A 24,883-nucleotide genomic window follows, 5' to 3' on the forward strand; every position below is an offset into this window, starting at 1 on the left:
AGCAGAAATTGAAGGAAACTTCACATTCTTCCACTTTCCACTCCTTGTTGGTCACCCACGCTCCTCCTCCTCCCCAGCTCACTCATGTCCAAATGCTCCCTATTCTTTAAGGTTCATCTTCAGCGTCCTCTCCACTGTAAAATCTCATGGAGTCCTCAAATAAATTCTCCTTATCCATTTTTGGAATTTCAGAAACACTTTATAGTCTATTTGTATGATTCTCATAGCATATATCAACTTCTACCTATAAGTAAAGGTGTCTCCTTTCTTGAACGGTAGAATCCTTAATTGATCTATTCATTCATTCATTCAACACACACTTACCATATGCCTATCCAGTGGCAGGAACTGTGCTGGGTGCAAGAGATGCAAAGGTGTGCTAAGTAGACAAGGACCTATCCCTCTGGTGGGACATCAGGCTAATAAGCAAGTACAAACTACGTGCTGAAACGGGGGTAGGACCTGGACTGGGAGAGCTCCCAGCAGGCTCCCTGTGTCTAGTCTAAGAATACAACACACTCAGTTCTGAACTGAGAATTGTAGAGGACAGGGGATGAGAGTGCCAGGAGAGAGAACAGCACACATGAGGTCCAGAGTGATAAGGAGTTCACTCAACAATCAATTCCATGAAGGCCTTGGCTTCTCCGATTCATCTTTGTGACTAGAGAGAGGCCTGTCCGCACACTGCCTTAAATATCATAAATGCTCATAAATGTTGGTTGCACGAACAAATGAATCAACACATTAGTCTCTTATTTTTAGTCTAGATTAAACTCCAACATGACCCTATTGCCTGGCATGATCCGTTACTATCAAAGTGCTCTACAGGTGACCGATGGGACGCCATTCTACAGTGAGCCACTCAGATAGATGGAAGAAATCCACAGGCCCCTGTCTCACACCTTGGATGCCTGTTTGGATGCCCAGCCATGCCCAGCTGGCTGGAGGCGGGGCTCCCTGCACTGAGCAGCAGTTGCAGGAATCTGTGATGCTTTCCCAAAGTGAGGAAGAACTGTACCTCCTCCCAGAGCTTTCCTCTCCGAAAAAGCTGGCGTGGCTCTTCTCCTAACAGACCTGGTCCCAGACGGACCACCTCCAGTAGATGCCCCTGAACTTTAAAAGCTGTACTGCAGAGGCCTCCCTCTTCCTGGTCTCCATTTTCCAGCCCTTTCCCTTTGCCCTAATGCTCATAAGTCACAGGGAAGGCTGCAGTGGGAATGAGGGAGAACCCTTCAAGAAACAAGGAAAAGCTTTAGTATATGACATCACAGATAAATATATTAAAGGGCTGGGGGGATGGAGAGAACCAAATTCAAATCTGCTAACTTCAGGCTCCATCTATGAACAATAGAAGGCAAAAAGTGAAGGCCGATTTCTGGGTTATCATGAAGCAGGAAGATGAGCACTCAGGACCTGTCATGAAAATACTTGCTTTCCCTCACTGCTTTGCCCTGGTTATGAAGCAAGGTCATCAACAAATGAACAACATCAAGAAGGCAGGCAGAGGCTCAATAAGCTGAGAATGGAGACAAGGCCTCTTGGATTTACCTGAATTGAATGTAAAGAGCGACTGAGACCTTGTAGACAGCATGTTCCCTTTTCCTTAAATAGCAAGACAGCACAGCCTCGAGGCTGAGGTGGGGGAGGACTGGCGTCAGGGTGAAAGGGGCCAAACACTGGCCCTGCCACTTGCTTGCTGTGAGCATTTGCGAAGGATTTATAGCATCCCTGGAAAACTGGAAGCACAATTTTGCTTTCTACCCCCAGATAGAAACGTGGCCTTGCTCCTGCTGGGTTTAGCTTGAGATTCAGGAAGGACGATGCTCTGTGCATGTTCCCTTAAGAAGCAGCAAGTGGATAGTTGGTGTGTGGTCTTCATTAGTGGGAATACCATCCTGAGTGTGGAAAGGCCACAGTGAGACAAGCATTTGGTGGCTTTCTCAAGGACTCCAAGGGAGTGGGGGGTGTCCTTGGCATGGGAGGCTAGAAATAAAGCTTCACTAAGATCTGCTACTTTCATCTATTTCACTGCCTTGCTCCCATGAGTGTCTGAACCTGCGACTAAACAACTTGAAAACAAAAATTAAGTCTGCATATGTCTCCTTGTGCTGCTGAAACACTGCAGCTATTGTGGGCAGGTTTCAAATCTTCTGAAGCTGTAAGCCTCTTTTTATTCGTCTCTAAAATAGACATAATAATCCTTGTGTCTTGTGTCTTGTGGAGACAGAATGAGATACTGCATATGGGAACTTTCTGGCTCAGGTCCCAAAGAGTCCCCTAGACACTACTGCTGCTGGGTGTGGCCACTGCAGCTATTTTCTGCAGCTATTTACTGGGATAAGACCAGTAGAAACCCTAGCAGGCAACCTAAAAATGATAGATTCTCAGCAGTCTAGCCAGTTTGGTAATGTAAACATTTAAAGAGGAGGGACAGGAATAACAAGAAAGCAAAGGGTTAATAAATACCCCTTACCCTTTTAACCATGTTGTCCCAAGCACCATCTCGGGAGTGTGCACCACTTCTCATTGGAAAGTTTGTAGGTTTGCAGAGTTCATGGAAGATTCTTCCTGCTCCTCTTTCTCTCGTCTTCAGAATGAACAAGTGCAGGAAGTATGCAGAGATGCCCGCACAGGGCCAGTTCTTATGTAACCATGTGATTCTCAAATTGGTTCTTGTCCCTTCCCATTGGAAAGGTTTTGACAGTCTTCCTACACATACAAAATGCCATCCCCAGAATTAGAATCCCACGCCATGAAGCCAGCTCCCAGCATAAAAATTACTTCCCGGCAGACGTGAAACAGACATGTCCGAGTCTGGACGTCGTGCTCACACCTCCTCTCCCGAGGTCACATCACACTGAATTCAGAGGTAGGAAGGGCACTGTGACAAATAGTCACCACTTGAAAAAATGGAAAACAAAATAAAAAGTACCACAACAGCACACTGTCTCAGGAGAAAGGATAAAGATAGAAGGCATGCTAGCTTTGCGTGGAGCTGATTGATGGCCATCAAAAGCAGGTCAATGGGAAGCAGGTAACTGGATCACAGGACTCTTAACTGGTCATTCCTTCCCTCTCTTGCCTGCACCCCAGAATAACCAGCATGATTCTCAGGGGTGCTTTGATATGATCCTACTAGAGGCAAAATCACGAGTACAAGCACCTACAGAAAATCATCAGAGGAAGAGGTGCTGGATGCCTATAACTACCTTTCCCAGGTACCAGGACCCCATCACCACTCAGCCCTGCCAGACTCTGGTGGTCCTCTGTCCTAGCACTGTCCAGCCTAGGTCCAAGGCACTCTCCAAAGGGTATCGTGGATGGAGTCATCCAATTGAAAAATGCTTCCTGTCATGGACAGTAATATTGATTTAATATATGTTGTGGTTTTGAGTCTTATCTGCTTTTGAAAATCTGCACAAGAGCAGGCAGCATAAGGACATCCTCGGCCATGTGCCTACATGCTAATTCCTGAGTAGCAAAAATACAGAGCAAAAAATCCACCGCTTCCTTCACTAAAGAGGCTCTTTGAGGGGTATAAAAGTCCTGCACTGCTAAGCACTCTTACGAAATTCTCTAGAATTCATGGACTTTGGGATATGCCACTCCTGACAATTAACTGTTTTTGAAGCCATGTATTTCTACTCTCAGACCCAGCTGGTTATAGTCAAATGAAGAATGTCCCCAGTCATCTGGGTTACTGTAAATGCATTCTGCAGACTCATTTCCACCATCAGATCCAAATGACAATCATCAATTGTAAAAACTTACTAAAACTGGCTCCATGCCAAGGCTTCTCAGAACTTAACATCAATTAACTCATTAATGTCCATAACAAGCCTGGGTGGGAGATACGACTATATCCAACTCACTAATGAGGCAAGAAACACTTAGGTAAATTGTTCAAGATCACACAGCTAATGAGCAATGAAGCTGGGATGCAAAACCAGGCAGTCTGGCACCAAAGGCTGCACTCGTAAAAGCTATGTTTTATTAGCCTCAAACACAATTGACTTGCTTATACATTACGAGACCCTGACGTTTCTTTGCCCTTGGTTCCCTATGTGTCACCCTTGCACCTGCTGGATGGTGCCCTTTTGCTCCAAAGCGCCATGTGCAAAGAAAGGATGCCAAGGAAGTTTGCACAATACACTCAGGGACGAAGGATTGACACTGTTTAATATGTTGCCTCTCCTTCCGCCACAGCCAGGGGACAGAGTTATTGGAGATTTTGAGCTAAAAGGGGGAAGGAGGAAGATTCTGGCTGGAAAAGCATTTTTCTGAACCTGCTAAACTTACCCACTTAGAAGAGTCCCCACTAAGTCCTCCACTTCATGAACACATCAGAGCTGCTCTTTATTGAAGTGCCATCAGCCTGCAGAGTTTCTCACACACATGCCTTTGATAGGCGCGCCCCCTAGTGGACCAGAGAACAGATTCAACCCTAACTGCCCACAAATGTCCCTCCTAAGGCACCACAATGCGTGCTAAATAGGAAAGGAGTTTGGAAAAACAGGACTGGAAGAAACCTGTCTCTTCACCTGGTGTTCAATAACCATTCCTGAGAAATTGTGTCTGGAGTTAAAGTTAATTACCGTAAAAAGTAAGAAGAACGAAGGTCAAGTATTATCATGGTAATGAATCATAGGTCATTTGTTTTTAAAATTTTTCCCTTAAAATAGTTCCTCTAAAAATATGAAAACGGGCTGAACATGGTGGCCCACATCTGTAATCCCAGCATTTTGGGAGGCTGAGGTGGGAGGTGGAGGTTGCAGTGAGCCATGATGATGCCACTGCACTCCAGCCTGGGCAAAAGAACAAGACCCTGTCTCAAAACAAAACAAAGTTTTAAAAGTACAATTATTCATGCATCCCCTTTTCAGAAGGAGTCCACAGGTCATGGGTGCTTCTGAAATTAGATTACTCCCAGCAATAAGTACTCCTCCTTGCTCCCTCCCCATGCCGGAGTAGGAAGAAGGGAGTAACATATCCCATACGAAAGTCACCAAACAGATGGAAATGGTGGCAACAGCACATGCCTTGCAGCAAGAGCAAAACATGGGCCAACTCTTCACCTGAGACAGTGACAGAGAGCTTGTGTTAGGACTGTCCTTAGGGGCCCCACTGCACCAGTTTGGATGTCCTTTCTCAATGCAGCTGACAGCAAAGGTGGATCACAGAAGAAAGATCTGCAAGTATTCTAAGTGGGAGTTCTTGATCTCTCTGCACCCCTAGGAAGTATGATGATGCTACACTGAAGTGGAAATGGCCCCACGAGACCTTGAGTTATCTGAGAAGAGCCCACTGTGCAGAGGCCCTGCCCCATGACTTAATGTGCTTGGTTCACTTGGTTCAATGACAGGAAATAAACCTGATCTTCTTCAGTTTTTCAAGAGAGCTTTCCAAAGCTAACCTTTTCTTTCCTACATGTGCAGCTACAACTTGTTTTTTATCCCCCCACAGACAGATAGGGTTTCGCTCTGTTGCCCAGGCTGGAATTCAGTGATGTAATCATAGCTTGCTGCAGCCTTGACCTTCTGGGCTCAAGAGATCCTCCTGCCTCAGCCTCCCAAGCAGCTGGGACTACAGACGCATGCCACCAGGCCAAGCTAATTAATTTTTTTTTTTTTTTTGTAGAGACAAGAGTGTGACTTTATTGCCCAGGCTAGTCTTGAACTCCTGGCCTCAAGTGATCCTCTCTCCTCTGCCTCCCAAACTGCTGAAATTATAGGAGAGAGCCACTGTGCCCAACTAGCAGCTACAACTTTAAGACAACTCTGCATATAAAATTAAACATGAAGACAGTGCATGCCATTCTCTCTGTCATTTGACCAAAAGCATCCAAGAAAGACAGCACAGAGGCAACCCTGAACATGTACAGGCAGGGTGCTGGCAATCCTCTCTTCACCTGTGACGAATGGGCCACCTGAAAAGGATGCCCACCTGCCAATCAGTGAAGTGTGCAACCAAACTCCCTGACAGTTTTTGCTTGACCCATCAGCAGCTTCATAGGCCACCCACTTTCGCTTCTCTTCCCTTTTAAAATTCCCCTTTATGGCCAGGCGCCATGGCTCACACCTGTAATCCAAGCACCTTGGGAGGCCAAGGCGGGTGGGTCGCTTGAGCTCAAGAGTTTGAGACCAGCCTGGGCAACATGGTGAAATGCTGTCTCTACCACAAATACAAAAAAATAGCTGGGCCTGGTGGTGAGCGCCTGTGGTCCTGAGGTGGTAGGATAGCTGGAGCCCAGGAGGCAGTTGAGCCGAGATCGCACCACTGCACTCCAGCCTGGGTGACAAAGTGAGACTCTGTCTCAATAAAAAAAAAAAAAATACAAATAAAAATAAATTCCCCTTAATATTTTTAGGAGTGAGGAAAGAAAAGTTAGAGATAAAAAGAAAAGAATGCTCAAGAGGCTCGAATGCTCCCTACCATTAAAACAGAAATCTCAACAGTACCTCTGAACATACAGCTCCAGAAATGGCTACTGTTTAAAAAATTGAAAAATGATTCTAAAAGATTCTATTTACCTGAGAACCACATGTCAAGAGTCAGATCAAACTTCCCCATACAGCTTTGCATAACTCCCCACCAATGCTGGTTCACTTTAACTCCCTTTACTACCCTGCCCTCCTCACGTTATTACTGTCACATATTTTAATAATGGGACAGTACTTTCAACCCCCAAATACATTATTATTGTTTTTACAGCCAACATTCATAGACTTTCCATTTCCAGTGCATTCTTTCCTATATTTCCATGTTAAAGCAGAAAGCAAAAATTGCTTGCCCTACTTAAAATACTTTCATGACAGAGTAAGGAAAAATAACTGGGAATGAGAGTTGGGAGACTCAGGTCCTGGGAAAAAGCCCATCTGCCATGAACATCAGGCAAATCCCATTTAATAGGGGGGCCAGTTGCACATCCAACAATGCTTCTAGTTCCTACCGGGTCCTGATGAAAGCTTTAGAGCCCTCTAAGGAGACCCCAAGAACCCCTGTCTTGGCCTTTAAACTTTAAACAACTTCAAACGTTTCAGGCTTATAAGCAGGGTTGCAACGTAACAGAATGTCCCAGCAGCTGGTCAGCCAGAGTTCAGGGGACTGGCTGAGAGCCAATGGCTGTGTGTTTGCGCCATCTGGTGGCTATTTCTGCTCTGGTTCACTAAGGAATTTCCTGGCTTGTTGGGGCCAGGGATGCCTCAGAAGTTATTAGAACTGAGGTCTGCAGCATTTCAGATAGGAAAAGAGAGAGTCCGGTCTGATCAAAGTGTCAAGGAGGCTGACAGTGTAAGATCTGGTCCCTGAGGAACAGGCACATCTCTGTGAGTTCATGCAGCCTGAACCATCCCAGGTAATCCCTTTACCCATGTCCCCCAAGGATCCTTCAGGTGAAAGGGGCTGACTGGGTCTGGTGGACTGGCTAGGACTGGCAGAGCTTCCCTGCAGAGCACCCCGGGACCTCCTGCATTCTATATAGCTATAACTGTATAAGATTTCAGTAAATGTGTGTTTTTAAATATACTGTTATTTTACTTTTAGGTTTATGGGTTAAATCTAAAATGTATTTGAAAGCAAAGTACTTGTTTCAGAATACTATCCCAGTTATTAATAAGGGATATAGGGAAAAGTGATTCGATTGACAAAAACCTGCATTATCTTGTGCTTTCCAGAGATGCTCTGTGGCAAAAAGAGAATACCACAAAAATTAAGTGAATGTCAAAATTTAATTTCTCCAATTCCCATAAATGTATTCTAGATTCTTACTAATGCTGTCCTTGTACTCCAAGAGACTGCACCACATTCTTAGTGATGAAAGCCTATGATAAAATCACACTGGGATCGGTGCTGAAATATAAGGCAAGTCCACCATAGACTGGCTTCTCTTCACCTAGAATGATTTTTCTGAGAATTCACCAGGTTTTGGGGATGCGGTATTTTGGTATAGCAGCCATTTCAAGGCAGTTTCTGGCTTTAAAATAAATGAATTGAAACACAGTAAGTTATAATACTTCCCCTGTGAATTCCAACATGGTACTACTGAGCAGTACTGAATGATCTGTAGAAATTATTTAGCTTTTCCTTCTTACTGTAATTTATACTTCCCTCAGGTGGCCATTTTTCCCCATCAGAGAGAGAATATGGGGCCAGGCCATAGTGCAGGAAAAAAATGAGCCACCTCTTTTTCAGGGTTTGTGGGTCAAATTGGTCCCAATGGCTTAGGATGTATTTCAAGGGTGAGCCTGTTGATGTCTCAGTGTTTTCCATCTGAAAGACAAAACCGCCCATGGTTTTGGTTTGTTTCTCCCCCTCCCCAAGAACCCACAACTGTCCCTGGACCCTGCTGATCGGAATAGTTGTGCTCACTAATGCAGTAGCAGAAACAACCCCTCCCCAAGAACCCACAACGGTCCCTGGACCCTGCTGATCAGAATAGTTGCACTCACTGATGCAGCAGCAGAAACACTAGTTTTCCTCCCAGACCACAAGGAGGACCAAGAAGGTCAGATTTAGTGGCCTTTATTGACACATTCTCGAAAACCTGGACCCTTGCCTGTCCTCCTAGACCACAAAGAGGACTGAGCAAAATTGTATTTAATGGCCCTTACTGACACATTCTCGAAAACCTGTTAGAGTCTTAAGCATTCTCCCGTTAGTATTGGGACCTTACCCATGTCCTATAAAGATGTTATGCCCGAAAAATGAAGTGGAGGGTCGTACCCTGAGGGAGGGAAGGGATCTCCAGAGTTGGAAGAGTGATGTCTTTTGTCCTCACTTATATGAATAGGAAGGATACAATTTCTGAGGCTCACCATATCCTAGCTTCAGGAATAGCTTTTGTTAGGCCTGATTGTCTGAGGAGGGATCCTAAAATTCCAGATAGTCCCCCTACAATGGGGCTTTGGGCAAAAATTACATCTTTCTGATTGGTGAGCCCGGGCACCTAAAGAAGGTAACAGAGTCCTGGAGTTTATACTAGAAATAATTCTTATAGGAGAAACTAGAAAAGCACCAGAGACAGGGAGTGGTTTTTTAGAAGTGGGACTAGCCTCAGAGAAGAGAGGCGAGAGGAAGTTTGTCTGGCAGGCATTAGGACCCAGGCGGCAAGGGTCAGAATAGATAGGATAGATGGGCGAGTCTGCTTGGACGACATGCCTTTGAGAGTTCTGCTCATGGCTGCAGGGTCAACCAACTTGTTGTTGGGATCCCAGAGCTGAATGGCTTTCCTCTCTGTCGACCCTCGGCTCAGCCCAGAAGTACAGGAAAAGCAGAAGCTGGTTCCAGGCAAACCAACGCTCCCAACTCCGAAGAGTCAGGGATTGTTAGAGAGCCCTTTCCCAGAAAGCCTGACACGTGTGTCTTTAGTCTGGCAGCCACGCTAGTCGCTTTTAACTGGCCAACAGGTGCCCAGTATTTAGCCCCCGAATTCTAAGGAAAAATAGGACAGAATAGCAAGCAAAAGGGGTCCGACGGTACTCACCATTTGGCAATAGGCATTAGTCTCACCGCCTGGCGATGGGCGATGGTCCCATCTGGGTGGCCAAAATGTGTCTGGAATTGGTGGGTTCTTGGTCTTGCTGACTTCAAGAATGAAGCCATGGACCCTCACAGTGAGTGTTACAGTTCTTAAAGATGGTGTGTCCAGAGTTTGTTCCTTCTGATGTTCGGACATGTCCAGAGTTTCTTCCTTCTGGTGGGTTCGTGGTCTCGCTGACTTCAAGAGTGAAGCTGCAGACCTTCGCGGTGAGTGTTACAGTTCATAAAGGCGGCATGTCTGGAGTTGTTCATTCCTCCTGGTGGGTTCCTGGTCTCGGTGACTTCAGGAATGAAGCTGCAGACCTTCGCGGTGAGTGTTACACCTCATAAAGGCGGCACAGACCCAAAGAGTGAGCAGCAGCAAGATTTATTGCAAAGAGCAAAAGAACAAAGCTTCCACAGCATGGAAGGCGACCCAAAGGGGTTGCCGCTGCTGGCGCAGGTGGCCTGCTTTTTTTTCCCTTCTTTGGCCCCGCCCATATCCTGCCGATTGGTCCATTTTAAAGAGAGCGCATTGGTCCATTTTACAGAGTGCTGATTGGTCTGTTCTGACAGCATGCTGACTGGTGCATTTACAAACCTTTAGCTAGACACAGAGCACTGATTGGTGCATTTACAATCCTTTAGCTAGAAAGAAAAGTTCTCCAAGTCCCCCACCCGATTAGCTAGACACAGAGTGCTGACTGGTGTGTTTACAAACCTTTAGCTAGACACAGAGTGCTGATTGGTGCGTTTACAATCCTATAGCTAGGCAGAAAAGTTCTCCAAGTCCCCTACCTGATTAGCTAGACACAGACAGCTGATTGGTGCATTTACAAACCTTTAGCTAGACACAGAGTACTGATTGGTGCGTTTACAATCCTTTAGCTAGACACACAATTCTCCAAGTCCCCACCCAACCCAGAAGCCCAGCCGGCTTCACCTCTCATTACCATTTAAGAGCAGACTTTCTCTTCCCCACTTATCACAGACGGGACCCTCTGGGATTCTCCTCTCCATAGTTTACTGCTGCCCAAAAGCTCCCTGGGGACTTCCAAGTATAGTAGACTCTTCTTATTTGCAGTAGTTATGTCCTAGAAAGTTGCTGCAAATAAGTTAACAACTACTGAACCATTGCTCCTAGGAACAATATTAAATTGTTTCTGCGAGCCTCTGACCATAACGCTTTTGCCAACCAGTGAATATATAACCTTCTTTTATGTGTGTTTCTGTTTAAAGACACCCTATTTAGTATATGTTGTTGATTTGTTAACAATGAATGCTCAGCCAACAGTGCTGTAACTACTGCCACAACAAAGCTTAACAAACCCATATATTTTCGTATTTTTTCTGCGTGGCATGTCACAGCCTTCTTACACTTCGGAACATAAAAACAGCACTTCAGCACTACATTTAAGGGCCATTTGAAACTGAAATTACCATCAGAAAGCAGGAAGCACAAAAATGAGAAAAACGTGGCCTAGACAGACTGGGAAAGGGACACCTGTTTGAAGCATGAGAGCTGAAACAGGAAGGCAGGGTGGTGGCTTGGTGTCTTGTTCGACTTCAGCTGGAACATCTGAGTTGGGCAACTCAGATTTTTTGCCACTGTGCATTTTCCAAGAATGATCTAAAAAAGCATGTTGAATATTGATTTGGGCATTACAAATAAATTTTAGCAAAAAGGCAAATTTGCAAATACGGAATCCATGAATAATGAGGACTGACTGTATATTGCAAAGCCCTTTGAATTTAAAATTCTTCTATAACCTTTCCCTCACTCCAAAAGGCAACTCTACTTCCCTCTCTGCAACATAAACATTGGCCATGATAAATGACCTGCAGTTTCCCAAGCACCCAGTGTTCTTTCACCTTTAACTGTTACTTTCACCACGGATTTTCACACTACCCTCCTAGGGACAACCTACAACTCTCACGTTCTGCTATCACCATCTCTCACGGTGTCACAGAGCACTGGACGCCATTCCAATAATATTAATATCAATCATAAGATCGTAATAATAGCATCTAGATTCACAGACTATGTAGCAAGCACTGCTCTGAACAACTTCCAAGTATCTACTAATTTAATCTACACAACACACATATTGATAGAGAAAATTATTATCCCTCATTTTAAAGAATAAAAAACAGAAACATGAAAATGTCAAGTACCTTGCCCAAGTCACTCAGCCTGTGATTGGTAGAGTCAGAAATCGATGTCAGCAACCCAAATCTACAGCCCAAGCTTAATCACAATGTTACTCTCACAATGACTGTTGAAGCCTAGTAGCATTTAGACAAAGACGCTTCCTTCCGTAGTATTAGGATGGGGACAGAGATAGAGAAGGAAAAATATAAATATGCAGTTCATTTCATTCCCTGCCATCTCTATTTGCTGAAAAAATATTATTAAGATGACACCAACCCCTGCATATGTAATTTTGTGTAATTATACTTGTGTAACTACAGATAATTATCTTCCATCACCCAAGAAGGTAGAAAATCCTCTTAAAAATTTGAACATGAATCTTAATTCTGAAATGTTTTCACCATTACCCATAACCTCTTCCACCTTCACATTTTAGTCATTTTTCCCTCCAGGATGATCCTGAAATATGATGAAATTTTTTTGTAAAATATTTCATGTTAAAACACATTATATTGTTGAGAAACAATTTCTTTTTTTAAAAAAAAAAAGCTTATTTTCTCTGCAGTCAAGATAAAGGAAAGGAAAACAAAGCAGCTAGAAAAAAAAAAGCCTTGTCTGATTTTAATATCTGCTTTGATTCAGAAGGGATCAGAAAGATGAACTACAGACATCTCCTTTTTCATGCTTGTCCGGTAGACTGAACAAGGAAAAATTCACAAATAGAGAGACTACAAATTGGAAATAAACCAGAGACAAATTCTGAAAGGGCTCTAGCCAGGAACACAACACTTTGCAGAGTGTGAAAGCCATGGTGCACAGGTCTTGGCGGCTACAATCAAGAGGGACAACTTTGTATACAGCATTTCCCCTGTTCTCAAAATAAAGTCATCCTAGAGGTGAGAGTCTGCCTTCCATTACTCTCAGGAATCCATATGCCCTTCCTTAGAAGCTCCACTAAAAATAGCATTATCCCGGCAGGGCACGGTGGCTCACGCCTGTAATCCCAGCACTTTGGGAGGCCAAAGTGGGTGGTTCACCTGAGATCAGAAGTTCGAGAGCAGCCTGGCCAACATGGCGAAACCCTGTCTCTACTAAAAATACAAAAAATTAGCTGGGTGTGGTGGCGCACTCCTGTAGTCCCAGCTATTCAGGATGCTGAGGCAGGAGAATCCTTGAACCTGGGAGATGGAGGTTACAGTGAGCAAAGATTGCACCACTGCACTCCAGCCTGGGTGACAGAGCGAGACTCTGTCTCAAAAAAAAGAATAGCATTATCCCAGACAACTCTGTCTCTTCCCACCAGGGGACCTACAAAGGCCTGTCCATTTTGAAACCACAGAATCAATAACAAGAGATCTTAGAAGATGGCTGGTGTAGTGCCTCATGCTTGTAATCCCAGCACTTTGAGAGGCCGAGGTGGGTGGATCACCTGAGGTCAGGAGTTTGAGACCAGCCTGGCCAACATGGTGAAACCCGTCTCTACTAAAAATACAAACATTAGCTGGGTGTGGTGGTGGGCACCCGACAAGAGCAAAACTCTACCAAAAACAAACAAACAAACAAACAAAAAACGAGATCTCAGAAGATGAAGCAGCTTTTCTGTGTTATGACTAAACTTACAAGCCACTCAGCCACCTAGATTGTGACTTTAGAATTATTTTATCAGAAAAATTTGCTCCATTGGGATGTTGTGCTGAGAAGGAATGTGATGCCCATCTGCCTCCTCAAAGGTGTTGTGGTTTATTACCTTTTAATAAACTGTTCTTCTTGCCTTGTTGGCGCAATGGCCACTTTTACCTTGGAAAACTTAAAAGGCTGCAGATGATTTCTATGATGTGTTCTCTCCAAAAGGAAGAAAGGGAAGTAGCACTGGCTGAGTGCACCTTGGTTCCAGCTGCTGTGCTAGTCGCTGGTAGACGGTCCTGTGGGGCCCTCCCATAATCTCAAAACAGAAAAGATGCTGCCCAGTTTCACAGCTGAGAAAACCCATGCCCAAACAGGTTAAATGACTGAACCACTGGCCCATGGCTCAAAAGGAGGAAAGCTAAAATTAAATCTAGGCCCAGTGAACTCCAAAGCCTTGTCATGTAATGCTTGCTGGGCATTGCCTACTTGGGAGCAGAAACATGAGAAATAGCAGTCTTAATCTTATGAACTGAACTTTTCTTCAAAGTGATCCAAAAGATGATCCAAACCTCAAATTAATCCTTAAAGTTCAGTAAGGAGTTTAACAGGCAAGATGATTCCTCTTTGGGAAGTACAGAGAGAATTCTGCACGAGACTGCTTACAGCATCTAGAGATTTTGCAGCCAGACCCTGATATCATCAGCCAGCTTTCAGCGTTTTTGCAAGACCGTCTCTAGGTGGTGCAATGACCATGCGGTTCTGTTTACTGAGGCCTGTCTATTTCTGGCTGGCTGGGTATTCAAAAGTGAAAATATCTGCTTGTCAAAAGTTACTGGATCATTTCCAGCACTCAAAATCATTACTAAATAGTCGTTCCAACTTCTCAACTCTCTGATGCAAGACTGGCCTGGGAGAAGTTGCAGGGGAATAACTAAAATCAAAAACTAAAAAAGAACCATGGAAAAATAAAGAAAACCAACACTCTCTTATGATTATTCTCTGTTCAGAGTCTTTGCTTTTTCTAGGATGACTTTTCAAGTCCTCATAAGCGCTAAAGGCCTTAAAACCACCTCCAATTAACTTTCAGTTAAAAAAAAAAAACTATTATTCTGTACTCATGAAGCAGAACACTCCCCAGACAGGGAAAACTAAGACAGAGATACACCAAGACTAAACTGTACAAGGAATTAACAAGAATGTTAAGACAGATGGAGCTACATTGAGAAAATGTACTCTGATTTTGGAATACCCTGGTCATCTCACATAAGAACAGGGTCTGAAAATAAAAAGGAGATGCTTCATAGCACACACCCCCATTACAGATAGCTCTCACAGGGACCCAGATTCTATAGTAATCCTATCTCCTCCATGTGGTTGGCCCCCAACCTCTCTCTCTCCACAGTCCCTCCATACTGTGCATTCTGGGATCCAACTGCCCCCGAGGAAAATCACTACTGGGACAGAGACACATGCATCCCGGAGGCAGCACATGGAAAGAATTCAGGTTTTGGATTTTCTACATAGCTCAGAAGAAATCCAGGCACTGGCAGGAGGAGGACGATAAAATTGCAGTCACAGGAGCACCCTAGAACCAGGCTCTCCCTCAGAAGAGGAATCAATTAAGAGTATTTTCCAAATGTACATGCCCTGATTCTTCCTTGGTAATTTTGATATGACTTGAGGGTAAGAGAGATTGGGTGATTTCGCAAAGCCTCCCAAGTGACCTCGATATGTCTTGCTTACCACATAAAAGTAAAACTTGGAATTGAGGGTGAGGTAGAAAGTGAGTCCCATCCGCCTTCCCTGGACCATCGCTCTGGCAGAGGGGCTCTGCCAGCAAGGTCACTGCCACCCTGGAGCTTTGGTCATCGACACACAAGTACAGGAAACTCACCCGCTCCACCAGTCATGACATTTTTTGCTAAAATTTTAAAAAATTGATTCAACTAAAAGATAAAATGGAATGCCAAGGTCGAAACATAAAATATAATGATACAAAAATAATTTCAGAATACCTCTGTAAAGCAAGCTGCAAAGCTGAATATGCAGTAAGTATTCTTATTTAAAACGTCATATTAAAACTAACACTATAAAAACAATAACTGGACAGAGTGTTAGTTTTTTAGGTTTTTAGGTTTTTTTAGTTTAAGAAACACTACTGGAGAGAGTTAAAAAAAAAATGAACACTGCTGGTTAAAATGGACATGACTTTCTGTGTGTGGAAAGCAATTAGACAGTATCAAAAGCCTTGAAAACATATCTCATACAAAGTACAGTTCCACAAATTTATCCTAATAATGTGATCATGGGTGTGCATACATTCTGGGCTGTAAGATATTAATTATAGACTTATGGTAATTTCAAAGCATTGAATCATTTAGTAAAAGGGCTTGGTTAAATAAATTGTATTACATCTAAATAATGAAAAACAAATCAGTAATGAAACACAGTAATATGAAAACATTTTCAAAGAATATTCCCATGAAAGACAAGCCTTCTCAAATAACACATAAAGCATGATACCATTTGTCAAACTATGTATAAATATTATTATTAGTATATATACAGATATATACATTGTGTGTATATATATATATTTGGGTGTGTCTGTATATATGTATATGCATGAATATGTATATATATAAAATATATACACCTTATATATATACACACACAGACACACACATACAGATATATAGCTTATATATTTTTTTCCAAGGAAAGAGTATTTGGAACTATAAAATAATGCCTGGTGATTTCTAATCACCGAAGCCAAAATCTCAGTAATGCCATTTATGATGGGGATTAAAATTGAAATCCAATTTTACAACTGCAGAATTTGATATTAGCCGAAGGTCACTCAGAGACTTCATGGGGAGAAAATCGAGAATATAGTGCAAACAGAAATGAAAACAATGGATTATATTCAGGACAAGCTGTGTTCTGATTTGCAAACTAAAAAAAAAATCTAGGAGACAACCTATTAGCATTCATAGCAAGAGAGACCTTTTAAGAAAACATAAATTGTGTTAATGTCATCAGGATTAAATTTCAGGAGACTTTCAATTTGACTTTGATATAAAATTGATGTATGTAAGTAATCAACTCAATAACCCAATAATAAGATCCATCACTCATTTAAGGCAAACACAAATCTTAAGCATCTTGTGAAATAGATTTAATGAAGTCGAGATACATTCCGGGCTAACTACTCTCGGTTACACTTAATCAGAACTGAATAAACAAATGCAGTATTAGTCACACTTGTGCAAGTTATTCCATTTCACTGAAGCCAGAAGAGATTTTCATGTGATCCTGTTTAAACCAGCTAAACATCTGGAAATGTGGAAACTATTCCGTAAAGCGCAAGAGGACCACACGCTCGGAAGAGACATCAGTTATGTGGCTGAGGTCAGGCCCGGGGAGGCTGGAGGGAGAGCGCATACTGGAGATAGCTTACTTACAATGAACCCAAGCTTCTTATAATCTCGCGTGTACATGGACTTGCGTTTCTCCATGCTGCCACTGCTGTTGTTAGGTTCAGACTCAGCATCAAAAGCAATTCTTCGAAGTTCAAATATGATGTCCCTCTGAGCCTGAAGGAATCAGGGAGTAAAAAGAAAAGGGAGGGGAAAAAGCTGCTTTCATTGTGTGACATTACATATACTCCCTCTTTCCCTGGGGTCTAAATGAATCACTGCATTCAGGCAAAAGAAAAACAGATAAAAGAGAACCAATGTTCTAAGTTAGGGCTTTGCAGACCACTCTTCCCCCGTCAGTCTCCCTGCTGGTCAGGCCTGGCTGTATTCCACAGTGGTCCTCTTAGCCAAGTAGTTATCTGGAGCACGAATATTGATAGTCCAGTGCAGTCTTAACTGAGAGGCCCAGATATGATGGAAGGGTCGTGATTGGAGAAAGCTAAGCTAGAGAAACTGGGGATACTGTACAGTTGGGAACAAAGTAAGAAGCACCCAAAGTGCCTCACCCCACTAAGTTACTTCATGGAAACCAACACAGGACAAAAAAGAAAGAAAGGGTCAAAGGTGCAAACAACCCAAGTGTCCATCCAAGGGTAAATGGATGAACAAAATGTGGTGTGGACATACAATGGGATACTATCCAGGCTTTGAAAGAGGGCAATCCCAGTAGATGCTACAATCTGGATGAGCTTTGAAGATATTATGCTGAGTGAAATAAACCAGACACAGAAATATGCATATTGTCCAATTTCAATTATATGAGGTCCCTGGAGTAGTCAAATTCATAGACAGAAACTAGAATGGTGGTTACCAGGGACTAAGAGGACAGGGGAATGGGGAGTTAGTGTTTAATGGGTACAGAGTTTCAGTTCTGCAAGATAAAAAGAGTTCTGGAGATAGATGGTGGTGACAGTTTCCTAACAATGTGAATGTACTTAATGCCACTAGACTGTACACTTAAGAATGGTTAAAATAGTAAACTTTCTGTTATACATATCCCACCACAATAAAATACATAAATAAATTTTTAAAAGGGTTTCCAAGCAAAGAGCGTCATGTCATTCAATATTAAGAGGCATTGCTCTCTGCCACTAGAAGTGGTAAGATGACAGTCTCCTCTCCCTGGGATGACCACACCTTGCCAAAAACGTGGGGCACATTCACCGCCTCTCAAAGCCTCTCCATCATTCTTAACCGTATGGCCTTGCTCCATGAATGAAGTGCCACGGCAGCTACACACTTCACATATGCAGTTCACATCTGCAACAGATCAGGCCCTCACGTGCCAATAATGAGTGTTTTCCTTTCCAAAGCTGCAGCGCTGTTTAAGTTGAAAATGTGCTACGGCAGGGCTCCCAGCTGTTTCCTCTCACTCTACCCTCACACAGCAAAGGTCCCCAAAGCCTTCTGAATGGAGCTATAACCTTTCATGCACAACAAGAGACCCAGCAGAGAGTTACAGCCAACAGCCAACCGACAGAAATGCTGGCCCAGAAATCAGGTTTAATCTGGGACCCTGCTCTTGGCACTGATCCCTGGAGAACGAAAATTGCTAACTCAACCCCACAGAATCAATGCCACATAGAGTCACCAAGAGGCCCTAGTTGTCTGGGAACTTGACTCCAAAGCTACTACTATTAAATGTTACTTGGGGCCAGGAGCTAAAGTCTGTGGTCATGTGACATCAAACTTTCTTATTCAATAAATGCAGAAAGAACATGCATGTTTGGAGCCTAATGGAAGAATGCATTTGGTATATTTTCTGATCCTAGATTCACCTAATTTTGAAGCCATGCCCCTAAGTTCTGAGATGATAATAAAATGACATCATATCAAACTCTGAAACTCCCTAGTTTCAGGGTACCTCAAGAAAAGACTTTTAATGACACTTTCTGTCCTTCCTGTGCTTTGACTGCTGTCCAATGAGCACTCACCTGGTCCTGGGGGTCCATTTTGGTCATCATCCTGTCTTCCAGGAGGTTAAAGGTGAGCACTTGTAGAACATACAGCTGGTGCGCCATCTCATTGTTGATGGCCCGCTGGGCTCGGATGACATGCTAGGGAGATGGTTCACAAATGAAATTTTTTAAAAAAGAAAGAAAAGGAAACAACTAGAATTAACACTCAAGAAGGCTCTCACAGTCTTCACTGGGAGGTATAAGGAATGGAGAAGGAAGGTGAGGGCACAGGGAATTTCAGAGCTTTCCTTTGAATTTCAGAGCCCAGTAAGGTTCCTGATCTTCAGGTCACAGGCCATGAAAAAACCTACTGTGGGCAGGAGGGAGTGGAAGGGGAAAAGCGCTGGAAAGGGACTGATGATGGCAGCCATATAAGTCAAGAGAAGATGTGCTTGAAATGGGGGTGTCTCCAAGACAACTGTGGATTTCTACAATGGAAGCATCTGTCACACGCAGCAGAAAAACCAATGATGCATACCCATAGGAAGCAATTTTGCCATTATCTTACCCTGGGACTGTCTCTGACAGGTGAGCCCACTTCAAAATGGGGAAAAGTTTTAGAAGGAACACACAAAAGCAAAATACCCATCAAATCTTAATCCACTGTGGGAGCTACACAAGGATGTCTACCATCAAAAGCAGAGAGCAAATGCTCGTGAATTACTTTACTCACTGTTAACAATTAAATGAAAGATAAAATGACTTTTCCCCATAGAAACAGAACTGAAAAGAGAACATACAAGGAGTGGCAGGACAGGAAGACTGGATAGGTCCACCCCCAATCCCCTCACCCCTGCCCAGAAATGGGACAGCTGCCACCAACTCAACATTCAGCATTTGGGACTAACATACAGCCTTTTCAACAGAGATTCTGACTGTACATTAAAAATGCCAAACAATGGATCAATGTGGTGGAACAACCCATCAAATCAGTTATTTCAACTGTGCTAGCCCCACTCATGCCATGTTATCTGAAAGACCAATTCTCTTGGCAATCTGTAGTTGCTCCTGGGTAGACAGACTGCTGCAAACCAACTTCTAAGTGGCCGTTCAGTAAATGACAAAGCTCCCCATTGTAGAGAAAAATGATCTTCCTCCAGGATTGGAGGAAGTCTAGGTCCTTAGAGTGCTGCCTGGGTGACTCTCAACCTGACATCCACCTGCAATCCACACCATAGCTGTCAGTGCCATGCTGAAATAGCTAATTCAAGGAGGAGGGGTGGGAGAAGATTGAGGAATAGAAGAAAGAGGACAGGGAGGAATGAGAGAATACAGTCACCAAACCAAAATTATGGGAAGCAGGGAAGCTAGATAACGGATGGTTAGGAGCAAATCAAACCCCTTATCCTCCAATCCTCAGAAAAGCATGTTAACTCATGGCACACACTTAGTATCCAAAGCGTATGGGAATCTCTTTTCTTAGCAACTCGAAAGTACTGCACTCCAAGTTCTTGCAGGAGAGTACCAACCTCGAACTTCAGCCATCAACAACATCTCATACAAGAAGTCCCACTGAAGCAAACTGATTTTTGAGACAGGGTGAACACAGTCATTAATGCCACTCATATCTCAGGGCATTCTAACCCTGACTCCCACATCAAGGTAATATGAAGACACTGAGCTACCCATTGATGCTGCTGCTTCTACATTTACTGAGAGCCAATATAAAGAAGGACAGTAATTATGAATACTTCTGCACTTCCAAAACCACAATTGGACCTAGAATGTATTAAGATGCTCTCCCAAGATTCATTTCAGATTTCAGTTCCAGAGGGAAAAGGTTTATCTTTCCCGAAGAACTGGGGGACCTCTTTTTATCAAACAATGAAAGTTACACTCATACATTTCTTGTCATCTTTGACAGCCAGGAAGTTTAAAATTGAACTAACTTGGTCACAAATTGCTGGCATTACCACTGGCTTTGGGATCTAGAACATTTATTTTCAACATTAATTTTTGATGGCTTACTTGTATTGGTGGGAGAGGGAGGGGGGATAGTGTGTGTGTGTATTAGACATTTGTTTCTGCTGTTGGGACATCTGGGACCTTGTTGACCCTGAAGAGACTGCTCCTCCCAGGTCTAGCCAATTCCTAGAGATAATAAATGACTCCTTTCATATGCAAATGAATCAGTCCAGAGCCTTGGCACCCACCCCCCACTCCTCTACAAGCTCTGGCTCCTACTCTTAGGACCACTGTTCTCCTGCCCTAACCACCCAGGGCCAGGTACCAGACAACTGGAGACAGCCCATAAACTCCAAAGCCCACTGAAATTATTCAAACTAGCCAATCCTAAACCTGCTCAGCCAGCTTACCTGGCCTCACATATCCCTTCCCTCAAAAACCACAGTAAGGGCTCTCGCCCAGGTCTCCTTGGGCTTCCCCTGCCTCCTGACTCAGGAGCTTCCCCTGCCCCGACAATCCCCCAGTGGCACGGCATGCCCCCTCCTTTGGGGAACTATAATTAACAAACTTTTCAATGCCAGCCACCTCCTGATCTGTTGGCCTCACCATACTTGAATAATAATAAAACCTGCATTTGAGGACCAAGTGTTTTTAACTGTAAGCTTGCTGAACTGCTCTTTGGAATCACGCAAACAGAGATTTTTCTTTTTCTTTCTTTTCCTCTTTTCCTTTTTTTTTTTTTCTTTTTTGTAAGCAGGGCAATCAATCAACCTGCTTCTTTCAAGTAGCTGGTAAGTCAAATAGCGGGTAAGGCCTCAGGAAATCTTGTTATTTGGTTTATTTCTAAACATTTGCAAGGTGACACTTAGGGCTTTTTTTTTTTTCCACCAAGGTTTAAGGTCATCTTGCATCGCAGCGAATGAGTGGCTCCTATCTATATCTTTCCTTCCTCTCTCTTGCATGCGGGCCCCCAAAACTGATGTTCAACATCTCAGGACTTCTCTTGGTACCTGATATGTTTACAGCTAGCTTCCTCATTGAAAGAGCAAAACCTCATCAGGGTGAATCTTTTAAGCCCTGATCTCCCTAACCTGCCCCACTGAGAGAGCTATCCAACCCTTCCGGCCAGAATGCGTTCCCCCTTTCTCTCTCCAGAGCAGTTCCAGAAACCCCTCCCTCCAATCCAATGAGGCAATTCCTGTGGGAAAGCCTTTATTTATTCCAATTCCAAAAACTCACTTTTTCCTTCATTAGAGTTCCTACTGCTTCACCACAGAAGGAAGTCACAGAACAAACCACAGACTGAAGCCAAAAGAAGAGATTAACAAATGCACCAGGCCACTCCTCCCCCACAAAGAGGTCACAGCGCATAGGTACTCACTGTTAAAATGATGGAACGCAGTTGCTTCTGAGCCAAAATATTCGCCATCTCCTGTGGAAGAAAAACACACCCACACAAAGGCTTAGGTTAGAAAGCTACATTTCGACATGGCCAAAAATGACCTTATCCTGGGGTGTGCTTCGTAACTGTATATCAGCAGTATTTCTTATGAAATAATGAACTCAAACAGGCAGTAGTATTCAAATTATTTTTTTGACTGTTTTATTTAGAATGTAAAAGCAATGTCCAAAAGCAAAGGAAAGATATCTGGCACCTGCAAACTTCTTTTCTTTAGGAATTTCTTCCTTCCAGAAAAAGGTGGGTGCTAAATAAAAATCAGGCACTCCAAACAAAGCAATGGCTATTAGAAAGCCTCATCATCTTTTATTAGACTACGTACGTGCAGAAAGCTTTTATTAGGCAACACATGCCTGTAGCAAGGAGATTCCAGTATCTTCTAAAAGTCATTTCATCTTAATCTGTGCAAAACCAAAGAGTGAGTAATACATATACCAGGCTACATAAGTGATCTGAGTGGAGTTTAAGTGAAGGGCAAATATCTGGGTGATGCAAAGCTCTAGAGTCTACACTCACTGAGCTCTGCAAGGCCTGATTTCTGCAGGTTGTTTTGTGCCTTGGCATCTCCTGACTGGTATGGAGGATTCAAGGGTGATTTTATTAAAGGAAATGATGCACAGAGTCCCTTTATAAATATTGACAAGTGGAGACTAAGGGAAAATAGTATATCAAGCATAGTCTTGGAGCACTTGGAGCCTTTTAAAGTAAAAATACTGCTCATATTCAGGAAGACACTTGACCGTTGTTTTGTGGTAGGGGGTGTTTTTGGTGTTGCTACTCTTACTGAGTAGAGAAGAAACTAAGCCACGGTTTAAAAACTCAACCATGATTTCTACTAAGGTTAAAACAAATTTGCAGAAAGCAAAGAAAACCAAGAACATGGGGGGTGGGGGAGATTTCTGAGGAGGGCATACAAGCAGGGGTGGACAGGAGCAGCACAGGAGAGCAGGGCCCACTTTACGCTAACAAAGGGAACGTGGGTGACTTACAGTCAGAGGACAATCAAGGATGTCAACATTGCTCTCTACATCAACCTAACGGCGTCATCGCCACCACAGAAAGGAAAGCAAGCAGGAGAGAAGAAGGGATGGAAATTCAGAGGACTCTGTTAGAGGTTGACCACTGTATTTGAACGCCCCTGCTGACCCACTGCATTGAAAAGTGCTTAAATACTGTAAGGTGACTCAAAAAAGCTAGATGGCACTCAAGTCAACATCCAATACTAGGTCTTATACTCTTGAAAACAAGAAAGCAGGAGCAATGACGCATTGAGAAACAACTCAAATGGTAACCCAGAAGGAACCTTCCCTTCCACGAGGCATAGAAAGCAGGGCTTTCTTGCTGATCTTCATAGAAAGGCCCACTGGTGGTGGTTTTTTTGTTTCTCCTAGACCAGATGACAAATAAAAGCCTCAAAGGATCCTATAGCTGTTTTAATTTCTTTCCTTTAAAAAGATGAAATTATTGCTCATAAATAAAGACGGAAAAAAATATTTCTGTTCCTATGTTTGTCTATCAGTCTATAAAATTTAAAGTTAGAAGGGACAATGTATGTCCAACTTCTACTAAAGAAATCATTGTAATTGTCTGTTTACAATATTTATTGTCTGCATAAGACTGTGAGTCCCTCATGAGCAGAAACTGTCTTTTTCTTTTTTGTATTCCAAGCCCAAAGTACAATGTCTGACACCGAGAAGACAATAAATGTTTGATAAAATAACAAATAAATATTTTATACTACCCTCCTAAGGAACAGCAGCTTGGTCAAAGAGAAAATAGAAATATCCATGCCTCCATTTTTTGGTCTAATAGTAAGGAATTATTGGAGTAAATGTGAGAATCCATGGGGAATATTTTATAGCATTAAAATTATGTAAAAGTATAGATAGCTACAAATATGAATCCAGATATACTGACATGGAAAGATGTCCACAAAATATTGTTTAGTTTTAAAAGAAGTTTAGAAAAACTACAATGCATGTAGTATGCTCACATTTGGTGAAAAAAAATGATGTATTAGGAGAATATTTGCACAGAACAAACAGGGAAGTAGCACCATGAAAGTCACAAGAGTTGTAAATAATTGCCGTGGTTCTGCCTCTGGGAATATAATTACAGGAATCTTTCAAACTTCTTCCTTTTGAGTCAGTATTTTCTGATTTTTCTACCAAATCTTTTAACTAACAAGTTTTTTAAATAGTGCTTATCAAAAGTATAAGTATTTGTAGAGAAATTTGGAAGGGATCTCACCAACATATTTGCCATTGAAATAGTGAACTGAATAATGGTAAAAGTTGTAAGCAAAAGGATCCATTTGCCCGCCTAACAGCAACCTCCTCCCCGACAAAACTAGCCCAGCCCTTCCCTCCGTTTGTGCCAGGAAACTGAGAATCTCCTACATCCCAGAGGCATGGGAAAGCAAGGCCTCCACCCCTGGGGGAACCCTAGAAGGGAAGGGAGTTCCCAGAGGAGGAAGCTTTACCCTAGGCCCCAGCACAGGCCTCTCTCAGTAAGGCCTACCTCACAGATGCAAAGGAAAAAACAGCACAGGTCCTTCTGACCATGGTGGCATTTTTTTCAGTAACAGCAGAAATAAGGTATAAGTGTTTAAAAGCATTCCAAATTCAAAGAAACCCCAGATAATGGAGTCCTGTGAATGTGTCTGGCCCCAAGTCAAAAAAAGATGAAATTTTAAAAAAGTATTTGACTGAAGTGGAATCAGGCTACTCCAAACAAAGCAATGGTTCTAAGGCTTTAAACAGATACAACAAAAAACAAACAAAAAATA

The 24,883-nt window shown here is 43.0% G+C and overlaps 1 protein-coding gene across 14 annotated transcripts in view, besides 2 other annotated features; it reads right to left on the reverse strand.

Annotated features, from left to right (window-relative positions):
* Positions 1–24,883, reverse strand: part of ELMO1 (engulfment and cell motility 1) — a 596,421-nt gene that overhangs the window by 341,722 nt on the left and 229,816 nt on the right. For all 14 annotated transcript variants that reach the window (NM_001206480.2, XM_011515654.3, NM_014800.11 and 11 more), the window contains 3 exons: positions 22,018–22,068; positions 18,708–18,830; positions 16,759–16,890 (listed from right to left, as the gene is read on the reverse strand). In NM_001206480.2, coding sequence (NP_001193409.1) covers positions 16,759–16,890; positions 18,708–18,830; positions 22,018–22,068 — 306 coding nt within the window. The remainder of the gene's footprint in view (positions 1–16,758; positions 16,891–18,707; positions 18,831–22,017; positions 22,069–24,883) is intronic.
* Positions 4,392–4,451: an enhancer, noted in NCBI's record as "active region_25852". NCBI's record gives its function as "activates an Ori minimal core promoter by ATAC-STARR-seq in GM12878 lymphoblastoid cells {active_cell/tissue: GM12878}" and the evidence as "EXISTENCE:reporter gene assay evidence [ECO:0000049][PMID:35858748]".
* Positions 9,391–10,590: an enhancer, noted in NCBI's record as "BRD4-independent group 4 enhancer chr7:37243623-37244822 (GRCh37/hg19 assembly coordinates)". NCBI's record gives its function as "activates an origin of replication core promoter dependent on BRD2, P300/CBP, MED14 and CDK7 cofactors, and independent of BRD4, by STARR-seq in HCT116 cells {active_cell/tissue: HCT116}" and the evidence as "EXISTENCE:reporter gene assay evidence [ECO:0000049][PMID:35650434]".

This window comes from Homo sapiens, chromosome 7, assembly GCF_000001405.40.
Source record: "Homo sapiens chromosome 7, GRCh38.p14 Primary Assembly".
NCBI classification, from domain to species: Eukaryota; Metazoa; Chordata; class Mammalia; order Primates; family Hominidae; genus Homo; species Homo sapiens.